The following is an 11,322-nucleotide window of genomic DNA, read 5'->3' as shown; positions in this document are numbered from 1 at the left end:
TTAATTTTACAACACAGTACCGTTAACTATAGGCATAATGTTGTACAGCAGAGCTCTCGAACTTACTCATTTTGCAAAACTGAAACTTTATACCTATTGGACTGCAACTCTCCATTTTCCCCTCATGTCCAGCCCCTGGCAACCATTCCACTCTGCTTCTGTGAGTTTGACTATTTTAGATACCTCATACAAGTAGAACCATCCAGCATTTGTCTTTTTGTGACTGGCTTATTTCACTTAACATAATGTCCTCAAGGTTTCATCCATACTGTTGCATATTGCAGAATTTCTTTCTTTTTTAAGCCTGAGTAGTATTCCACTGTATGTATATATACTGCACTTTCTTTATCCACTCATCTGTAATGAACTTTTAGGTTGTTTCCACATCTTGGGTATTGTGAATAATATTACAGTGAACACAGGAGTGCAAGTATCTCTGTTCTGCAAGATTCTTTTTTTTTTTTGTGGAAACAGAGTCTTGCTCAGTCACCCAGGCTAGAGTGCAGTGGCATGATCTTGGCTCACTGCAACCTCCACCTCCGGGTTCAAGTGATTCTCCTGCCTCAGCCTCCCAAGTAGCTGGGATTACATGTGCACATCACCATGCCTGGCTAATTTTTGTATTTTTAGTAGAGACTGGGTTTCACCATGTTGGCCAGGCTGGTCTCGAACTCCTGACCTCAAATGATCCACCTACCTCGGCCTCCCAAAGTGCTAGGATTACAGACGTGAGCCACTGCGCGTGGCCTCTCTGCAAGATTCTGACTTCAATTCTTTTGGATGTATACTTAGAAGTGGGGTTGCTGGATCATATGGTAGTTCTATTTTTAGTTTTTTGAGGAATCTCTATCCTGTTTTTCATAGTGGCTGCATCATTTTACATTCCCACCAACAACGTGCAGGGTTCCAAGTTCTCCACATCCTTGCCAACACTTATTATCTTTTGTCATGAACTCTGTTTCATAATTTGATCCCACTGTTATGGAAAGAAGCATTTTGAAAGTTTATAGAGAGAATTTTGTTCTGAATATGAATAAGTTTCAGAATCTGAAAGTGTTTTTGTGGTTTATTGGTAGAAGTAGAAAACATGAGATTTTAAAATTTTTTATTTAAACTTGTAAATTATTATCACTCACAAAAGAAATTATTCCTCTGTGTCATCCCACCAGAAATAAAATTGACAAATTATTATTTTGTTTCCTTTTCAGAATTAAAATTTTAGAGATGTTTAGTGCTCATAATCTCCAGTCTGTGTTCTCTCGGCTCATTGAACCTCCACACACCGATTCTCTTCGTGCCTCAAAAATACGATTACGAGACTTAGGAGCATTAACTCCAGATGAAAGATTGACCCCTCTTGGGTATCATTTGGCCTCTCTGCCCGTGGATGTGAGAATTGGCAAACTAATGTTGTTTGGGTCTATCTTCCGCTGTTTGGATCCTGCTCTCACCATTGCTGCCAGTTTGGCTTTTAAGTCTCCGTTTGTAAGTAAACAACATTCATCTAAACTGGAGTCTCTAAGAGGACCATAGGTCTCTAAGGGGACCATGGGGGAAATCAAGGGCATGTGAGCCCCCTAAAAATTTGCTTGTATGTTAGCTGTGAATTTTTAGGGCACATCTGCATGGGAGGGAGAAGGTCAAAAATAAATTTCTGAAAAGACAAAAACAAATAAAACAAACAAAAGGATTTTTTAGGGAGCAATGTCATCCAATCCTCAAAGAGATCCACCCTCCAATTAAAGACTGAGAACTAGAGATATAACTTATTAAAAGTAATCCAGGCCAAGCGCGGTGGCTTATGCCTGTAATCCCCGCACTTTGGGAGGCGGAGGCGGGCAGATCATTTGAGGTCAGGAGTTCGAGACCAGCTTGGCCAACATGGTGAAACCCTGTCTCTATTAAAAATACAAAAAATTAGCCAGGCGTGGTGATGTGCACATGTAGTCCCAACTACTTGGGAGGCTAATGCAGGAGAATCGCTTGAACCTGGGAGGCGGAGGTTGCTGAGCCGAGATCGCGCCACCACATTCCAGCCTGGCGACAGAGCAAGGCTCCGTCTAAAAAAAAAAACAACTAATATTAATTCTTCTTTAGGGCCTGGCGTGGTGGCTCACGCCTGTAATCCCAGCTCTTTGGGAGGCCGAGGCAGGTGGATCACCTGAAGTCAGGAGTTTGAGACCAGCCTGACCAACATGGAGAAACCCCGTCTCTACTAAAAATACAAAATTAGCTGGGATGGTGGTGCATGCCTATAATCTCAGCTACTCGGGAGGCTGAGGCAGGAGAATCACTTGAACCTGGGAGGCAGAGGTTGCAATGAGCCAGTCGCGCCATTGCACTCCAGCCTGGGCAACAAGAGCGAAATTCCGTCTCAAAAAAAAAAATTATCATTAAATGTTTAGTAGAATTCAGTGGTATAAAGCCACCTGGGCCGGGGGGTGGTGGAGCAGGAGTGTTGGTGGGTAGTTGTTTTATTATTAATTCAATCTCTTCATTAGTTCTAGGACTTTTCAGATTGTCTATTTCATTTTGAGTCAGTTGTGATAGTTTATTTTTTTCTAGGAATTTTATTTTGTCTAACTTATCTAATTTATTGGCATATAATTATTCATAATGTCCCTTTATAATCCTTTTTATTTCTGTAAGGCTAGTAATAATGTCCCTTTTTCTGATTCTAGTAACTTGAGCTTTCCCTCTCTTTTTCTTGGTCAGTCTAGCTAAAGATTTGTCAATTTTCTTTGTCTTTTCAGAGAATCAACTTTTGGTTTTATTTTTTGTTTTTGAGATGGGGTCTCGCTCTGTTGCCCAGGCTGGAGTGCAATGGTGCAGTCTTGGCTCACTGCAACCTCCGACTTCCAGGTTCAAGCGATTCTCCTGCCTCAGCCTCCCGAGTAGCTGGGATTACAGGTGTGTGCCACCATGCCCAGCTAATTTTTGTATTTTTATAGAGACGGGGTTTCACCATGTTAGTCAGGCTGATCTCTAACTCCTGACCTTGTGATCTGCCTGCCTCAGCCTCCCAAAGTGCTGGGATTGCAGGTGTGAGCCACCATGCCTGGCAGTTTTATTAATTTTTTTCAATTGTTTTTCCGTTCTTTATTTCTTTACTGTCTGCTCTTTATTCTTTCCTTCCTTCTGTTTACTTAAGGTTTAGGTGGCTCTTCTTTTTCTAGTGTCTTAAAGTAGAAGTTTAGTTTCTTGTTTTGAGATCTTTCTTTTTTATATAAGCATGTATAGCTCTCAGTTTTTCTCTAAGGACTATTTTAGCTGCATCCCACACATTTTGGTTTTCCTTTTCATTCATCTGGAAGTATTTTCTGATTTTCCTTTTTATTCTCCTGTGACCCTTTGATTATTTAGGCATGGGTTGTTTAATTTCTATATATTTGTGAGTTCGCAATTTTTTTTTCATTATTTCTAATTTCAGTCTACTGTGAACAGAGAACATATTTGTATTATTTCAATCCTCTTTAAAATGTATTGAGCTTTGTTTTATGGTCAAGCATATGGTCTGTCCTGGAGGGTGTTCCACGTATACTTGAGAAGAAAGGATTTTTTGCTGTTGGGTAGAGTGTCAGTCTGCCTTTTTTTTTTTTTTCCTTCATTAAAAAAAATCTTTTTTTACTGGTCCTTTCATGATAAGCAATCTGCCTTTATTTTTATCATGGCTTATTTTATATAGTTCGGAGAATAAATGGATGTATTCAGTTTCTTCAGTTTTAATGTTATATGTCATCGAATTATAAACTCACAGATCTGCAAAAATATCTTAGTCCAGCTCCCTGACTTAACAACAAATTATAAACCAGCTGGTCCAGTGGTAGTGAGTTATCTCAATTGATTGTTGGGACTTGACTACTCTTTAAAAAAAGAAAAAAAGAAATGATAAAACCAAGGACCAGAAGAGGTGACATAACTTGCTGGGGGTACACAGTATCAACCTTGTGAACAGGACTTCTATTACCTTTTCCCAAATCATCTAAACCAACCTCTCACTGACCATTTTCTTTTATTGGAATAAAGAAAGACTCATTAGAGACGTTGATGTCTGGTTTGAGGTTCCATGGTGTAATGGTGAGCACTCTGGACCCTGAATCCAGAAATGTTGATGTCTGCCTTCGTTTAGTGATCTGAAGAAAAAAAAAAAAGAGAGAGAGAAAAGAAATATTGATGTCATCCTTGGCCAAAACTGAGCACCTGCCCTTTGCTGGACTCTGTAAACATAATATTAATCTCCCACGTGCAATCCTTTTCCCACTGGCCTGTCTAAAAAGGAAGGAATTTTACTTTCAAGTAGAAATTAAAATTTTATTGCTATTGTATTAGTTATAAGATTATTTAAATATACAAAAATTAGAGAGAAGCACTATGGTTGGTTTAGAATGATTTTCAGTGGTGTTGCAACTAGGGCATTGGTTTAGATTGCCATGAGAAACTACTGCAGCTCATGCTGATACCTTTAGAGCCTGAGAAGGTAGAGAAATATTATTATTGGATTAATGAATCGGTATGTGTAAAGTGGTGAAAATTAACTTCCCTGCTGATTTTACACATTTGTAGGGAAAAGGAAGACTTGTAAACATTTGTAATAAAATAAGAGGATTCTTCCCAGTGTAGATTTTCAAGTAAAACAATAAATAAGAGTAAAACACTAGTTATGGGTATAGAAGCAAGGGAGACTCAAACGTAGAAGACGAATAAGAATCTGTAAAATAAAGAACCCAGATAACAGAATGTTAGGTTTTAGATATAGCTTTAGAATGAGTGGCTCTTTGATGACTCTTGCCACTTGGAACTAAAAGACCCAGAAGAGCTTATTTTGGGTGGGCAGGCAGACTTGACAGAGCAAAGACTGTGAGCTTGCCATTTACCGTCATAATTGCCTTTCATTAGCTGACCCACTGATTACACTTTTTCCACACAAAATCCTTTCCCAAGGCATCTGGCTTTAGCAATGGGAAAATGCCATTTGAAACCTCAGATAAAAAGTGTCCTGTAGGACCTGGTGTGGTGGCTCATGCCTATAATGCCAGCATTTTGGTAGGCCGAGGTGGGCCAATTGCCTGAGCCCAGGAGTTCAAGACCAGCCTGCACAACATGGTGAGACTCCGTCTCTACCGAAAATTTTAAAAAATTAGCTGGCCTGATGGGGCACACCTATAGTCCCAGCTACCAGGGAGGCTGAGGCAGGAGGATTGCTTAAGCCTGGGAGATAAAGGTTGCAGTGGGCTATGATCGCACCACTGCACTCCAGCCTGGGCAACAGAACAAGACCCTGTCTTTGAAAAAAAAAAAGTGTTCTTTAAATCTGATTTTCCTCTCTCCTTTAGGTATCTCCCTGGGATAAAAAAGAAGAAGCTAACCAGAAAAAGCTGGAATTTGCATTCGCAAACAGTGATTATCTGGCCCTTCTACAAGCGTATAAGGTAAGTATATAACCTAATAGCTTAGTTTTATTACCAGTGTTGGCACTGAAGACTGAGTAAGTTCAGTTTGATTTTCTCCAAAATTTAGGGATGGCAGCTAAGTACAAAAGAAGGCGTGCGTGCAAGTTATAATTACTGCAGACAAAACTTCTTGTCTGGAAGAGTTCTGCAGGTGAGTTGTGTCTGTGGCTTTTTCTTCATTTTTTTATTAGAGTAGCTCACCAGAGGGTGCTGCGACTTTGTCTCATGTGTCCTGTCTTAACATTGCAAATGTTATTTCTGGAATATGTTTGGCCTTACCAGCCGTGTAAAATGGACTCCCGCACTGTGGCATCAGGCTTTCTGTGCTGAACCTTTCCACTGACCTCCTTTTCCTCTTTGTGGTGAATTTTTGTTTACTTATGCGGAAGATAGGGTAGAATATAGGCAGTAAGATTGCTGCTTACTGGAAGTCAGTTTTTTCAGTAATTACACCAGGGATTCTTTTTCATTTGTTTGTTTGTTTGTTTGCTTGTTTGTTTGTGACAGAGTCTCATTCTGTCTCCCAGGCTGGAATGCAGTGGTGCGATCTCGGCTCACTTGCATCCTCCGCCTCCCAGGGTCAAGTGATTCTCCTGCCTCAGACACCTGAGTAGCTGGGACGACAGGCACATGCCACCATGCTCAGCTAATTTTTTTGTATTTTTAGTAGAGATGGGGTTTCACCATGCTGGCCAGGCTGCTCTGGAACTCCTGACCTCATGATCCGCCCACCTTGGCCACCCAAAGTGCTGGGATTACAGGTGTGAGACACCACACCGGGCTACACCAGGCATTCTTAACCTGAATCCCTAAGCCCCTGAAATTGTATACAAAATTGTATGCTTATACATATGTGCATTATTCTGGAGAGGCGGACCATAGCTTTCATCAGCTTTTCAGAGGGGTCCATGGCCATCTCTAATCCCCTTCCCCTCTCCCCAAAACCAAAGAACTAATACTGAACCAGATTTTGTTAATTTTTCTTACATCTATCAGAACCTACTATGTGAATATAATGAGTATACAAGAAAATGTTTAGCCGGGCTTGGTGGCTCATACCTGTAATCCCAGCACTTTGAGAGGCTGACGATTGCTTGAGCCCAGGAATTTGAGACCATCCTCGGAAACATGGCAAAACCCCATCTCTACAAAAAATACAAAAATCAGCCAGACCTAGTGACATGGGCCTGTAATCCCATCTACTCCAGAGGCTGAGGTGGGAGGATCACTTGAGCCTGGGAGGTCAAGACTGCAGTGAGCCATGAATGCCCTACTGTACTCCAGCCTAGGCCAACAGAGGGAGATCCTGCCTCAAAAAATAAAAATAAAAAATGTCTTATCTTCTGTATAATGTAGACAGGGCTTCTGTCTCCTGTTGCAACAGTGTTTTAGGTGCCCTTCCAAAGTGATGAGGCCAGGGACTATGGCTCACACCTGTAATCCCAGCACTTTGGAAGGCCGAGGGAGGCAGATCACTTGAGGCCAGGAGTTCAAGACCAGCCTGGCCAACATAGCAAAACTCCATCTCTATTAAAAATACAAAAAATTAGCTGGGCATGGTGGCTCATACCTGTAATCCCAGCTACTCGGGAGGCTGAGGCATGAGAATCGCTTGAACCCAGGAGATGAAGGTTTCAGTGAGTTGAGATTGTGCCATTGCACTCCAGCCTGGGCAACAGAGGGAGACTTTGTCTCAAAAAATAAATAAATAAATAAATAAATTCCAAAGTGGTATGAGAAGCCAAAATAATGATGGCACGCATCTTTGCAAAGCATGTTTTACTCAAAGATTTTGGGACCCTGCGCAGTGGCTCATGCCTATAATCCCAGCACTTTGGGAAGCCAAGGCAGGCAGAACCTTTGAGCCCAGGAGTTCGAGACCAGCCCGGGCAACATGGCGAAACCCCATCTCTACAAAAAAATATAAAAATTAGCCAGGCGTGATGGTGCACGCCTGTGGTCCCAGCTACTTTGGAGGCTGAGAATCACTAATCAAAAGTGGGTGGGGGGCTGTGTTTATATGTACAGGGCAATAAGAAATATTTTCTCAAGTCATTAAGATGCTTAAATATAAGATGAGGATATTTCTTTTAAATTACATTTCCTACTAAATTTTTTTTTCATTAGGATATGTGTAGATTTTGCTGTGACTTATGAGGTCCATCAAACAAGAGTTGCATCTTTTCACTAAACTTCAACTTAGATTGTAGGATTGTTTTTATTAAGATTTCAATTAAAACTTTGTCATGAAATAGAAACTGCGGTATATTTAACTCCTAATTATATTCTAGTTATCCATGTATACTTGAGACATTCCAAGAAAATACTTAAACCATCATTGAGAGACAGGGTAGTGTTGCTTAGCTTTCAGTTCCTTGAATGATTATTATTTCCTTCTCTTTGTCTGATGTGCAGCCTATGTGAGAACAGTAGCCACAAGAAAAAGAAGTTTGTGCTTTCTTTCTCACATTTGTGCTCAGCCACTAAAAGGAGCATCTCAATCTTAAACCATGGCCGGGCGTGGTGGCTCATGCCTGTAATCTCAGCGCTTTGGGAGGCCAAGGTGGGCGGATCACCTGAGATCAGGAGTTCGAGAGCAGCCTGGCCAACATGGTGAAACCTCCGTCTCTACTAAAAATACAAAAATTGGCTGGGCGTGGTGGCACACACCTGTAGCCCCAGCTACTCGGGAGGTTAAGGCAAGAGAATCACTTGAACCCAGGAGGCAGAGGTTGCAGAAAGCCAAGATTGCGCCACTGCACTCCAGCCTGGATGACAGAGCAAGACTCTGTCTCAAAAAAAAAAAAAATATTGAATCACTTAATGATGTCCCTATTCCTAGGAAAAGAGATGAGCCAGCAAGACCATAATGAAGGAGAAAGAGGAAACATTCTGCTGAGTTCCACTGAGAGCACGAACCACTCTAGGCCTGAGTAAGGAACTGAGAGGACAGGAGCAAAAATGCAAGTAGGAAAAGCTAGGTAGTAGACAGTGCCGCAGCACTTGGAGTTGGAATTCCAGTCAAAACAAACAGCATTTTTTGCTGTCCTAAGAATTTCGTGGAAAATCAGGCCTACCCAAAATCCAATGAGAGTGTTTAAAATTGTAATCTAGAGTTAAATAAATGATCCTTGGATTTATTGAATTTTTGCATTTCTGCATAACCGTTTCAGTTTGCCTGCCAGTTTGCGTAAGTGAAAGCTGCTTCTTGGAAATGACCAGACAAGATCCTCTTCATACCTGAGGAATGAATCCACTTGAGCCTCATTGCTACCCCCTGAAATAATGCATTTTTATAATCACTCATTTTTGTAAGACTTAACACTTTGTTATGCTGATGCCCTTGCTTAAAGGTTTTTCCACTTCTTTCAGGAAATGGCCAGCCTCAAACGACAATTCACGGAACTGTTATCGGATATAGGGTTTGCAAGGGAAGGGCTCAGAGCAAGGGAAATTGAGAAAAGGGCCCAAGGAGGAGATGGTGTCTTAGATGCCACAGGAGAAGAGGTAAAGAATGTGGAGTTGGTTCTCATTTCTCTTTAATTAGCACCTAAATACAATCTTAACCTGGGAACACTTGTAGACATTCTTCTTCACTTAAGCCTTTGAGCAGTGGGTTAATGGCATTCTTGATTTTCTGCTTCGCACAAATAAATATCAGCTGATCTGGCACGGTGGCTCGTGCCTATAATCCCAACACTTTGGGAGGCTGAGGCAGGTGGATTGCTTGAGCTCAGGAGTTCGAGACCAGCCAGAGCAACATGGTGAAATCCCTCATCTCTCTACAAAAAAATTAGCCAGGCATGGTGGTGTACCACCTGTCTTCCCAGCTATGTGGGAGGGTGAGGTGGGAGAATGATGTGATCCCAGGAAGCAGAGGTTGCAGTGGGCTAAGATTGAGACACTGCACTCTAGCCTGGGCAACAGAGCCAAACCCTGTCTCAAAAAAAAAAAAAGTATAAAAAAATTTTTTTAAGTGTCAGCTAACACTCATAAGAATAGAGGGGGCTGGGCACGGTGGCTCATGCCTGTAATCCCAGCACTTTGGGAGGCCAAGGTGGGCAGATCACTCAAGGTCAGGAGCTCGAGACCAGCCTGCCCAACATGGAGAAACCCTGTCTTTACTAAAAATACACAATTATCCAGGCATGGTAGCACATGCCTGTAATCCCAGCTACTCGGGAGGCTGAGGCAGGAGAATCGCTTGAACCCGGGAGGTGGAAGTTGCGGTGAGCCGAGATCGCGCCATTGCACTCCAGCCTGGGCAGCAAGAGCGAAACTCTGTCTCAAAAAAAAAAACAGGGTTTTCTGCTCATTGTTGCTGTTGTTTTTGGTTTTTAAATTTCATGCTGCTTCTTGATAAATTCATAAGAGATAGAATAGACTTCCAGTAGAATTTTCTCAAATCAGGCCAGCATTTTTTCTAACAAAAGACAGCTTTTTCTATAACTATAGGAAGAGCACTTCTGTAAGATGAACCTGATGCTCCTGTGTTCCGAGTGCAGTTAGCACTTTCTGGAGATTCTGAACATCTCATGAACCATAATTTTTTTCTCCATTTATACTCAGGAACACTGGCTTTGTAACGCTTTGCAAAGGTCTAGAAAGTCATTGTAGGCTCCTTGGAGTGGGTCCAATGTGACTGTGGTCCAGTAGATTTGTTTTTTTACTTAGAAATAATTTTTCTAGCAAAGAGATAGAAATTAGGTGCTCTTTTTTTTGCTTTAAGATAGAGATCAAATATAATAAAACGGTAAATCCTACAGCACAGACAGAAATAGCCATATTAGAGCCAGACGCAGTGGCTCACGCCTGTAATCTCAGTACTTTGAGAGGCTGAGGTGGGCAGATTGCTTGAGGTCCAGAGTTGGAGACCAGCCTGGCCAACATGGTGAAACCTTGTCTCTACTAAAAATACAAAAATTAACCGGGCATAGCGGTGTATGCCTGTAATCCCAGCTACTCGGGAGGCTGAGGCAGGAGAATCGCTTGAACCTGGGAGGCGGAGGTTGCAGTAAGCTGAGATGGCGCCACTGCACACTTGCCTGGGTGACAGAGCAAGACTCCATCTCAAAAAGAAAAAAAAGAAATAGCCATATCACTTGTTAATTAATGCTGTGCTTTTCTCATAGGCAAACTCAAATGCTGAGAACCCCAAGCTGATATCAGCAATGCTGTGTGCTGCTTTGTATCCAAATGTAGTGCAGGTAACAAAACATTTTTCCTAGATCTTTCCATTTTTTGTTTGATTTGTAGCCAAGTGATGTAAGTTAAGATGTGCATATTAATCATCTTAAAGAGATATATACGCATGTGTGCACACACGCACACCCTTTTAAACTTAGTATACATTTTCGGCCGGGTGCGGTGGCTCACGCCTGTAATCCCAGCACTTTGGGAGGCCGAGGCGGGCGGATCACGAGGTCAGGAGATCGAGACCATCCTGGCTAACACGGTGAAACCCCATCTCTACTAAAAATACAAAAAAAATTAGCCAGGCATGGTGGCGGGCACCTGTAGTCCCAGCTACTCGGGAGGCTGAGGCAGGAGAATGGCATGAACCCGGGAGTCGGAGCTTGCAATGAGCCGAGATTGCGCCACTGCACTCCAGCCTGGGTGACAGATGGAGACTCCATCTCAAAAAAAAAAAACTTAGTATACATTTTCAATCCTTCAGTTCCCAAAATCTGTTTGGATACATTATTCAATAACACATTTATTGTATAAAATTTTTAATCCTTCTGACATATGATATTCCAAAAATTAAAATAGACATAAATGTCAGTCGGCCAACCTATATATAACTAACTTTCTATGTTAGTTGGAAACTTGATTCAACTACAGTTTATCTTACACTCTCTACTCTGAACAA

At 41.8% G+C, this 11,322-nt stretch overlaps 1 protein-coding gene across 7 annotated transcripts in view; it reads left to right on the top strand.

Moving 5' to 3' along the window:
- Positions 1–11,322, top strand: part of DHX57 (DExH-box helicase 57) — a 78,206-nt gene that overhangs the window by 51,457 nt on the left and 15,427 nt on the right. For 6 of the 7 annotated variants that reach the window (NM_001329963.1, NM_198963.3, XM_011533154.3 and 3 more), the window contains 5 exons: positions 1,209–1,485; positions 5,334–5,429; positions 5,518–5,601; positions 8,823–8,957; positions 10,583–10,657. In NM_001329963.1, the coding sequence (NP_001316892.1) occupies positions 1,209–1,485; positions 5,334–5,429; positions 5,518–5,601; positions 8,823–8,957; positions 10,583–10,657 (667 nt within the window). Of the gene's footprint in view, positions 1–1,208; positions 1,486–5,333; positions 5,430–5,517; positions 5,602–8,292; positions 8,382–8,822; positions 8,958–10,582; positions 10,658–11,322 lie in introns of those variants that run through there. The other variant, XM_047446268.1, reaches the window with a different exon arrangement.

This window comes from Homo sapiens, chromosome 2, assembly GCF_000001405.40.
Source record: "Homo sapiens chromosome 2, GRCh38.p14 Primary Assembly".
NCBI lineage: Eukaryota > Metazoa > Chordata > Mammalia > Primates > Hominidae > Homo > Homo sapiens.
Note: the sequence above shows the minus strand (reverse complement) of the source record. Positions and strands in the feature narration are given on the sequence as shown.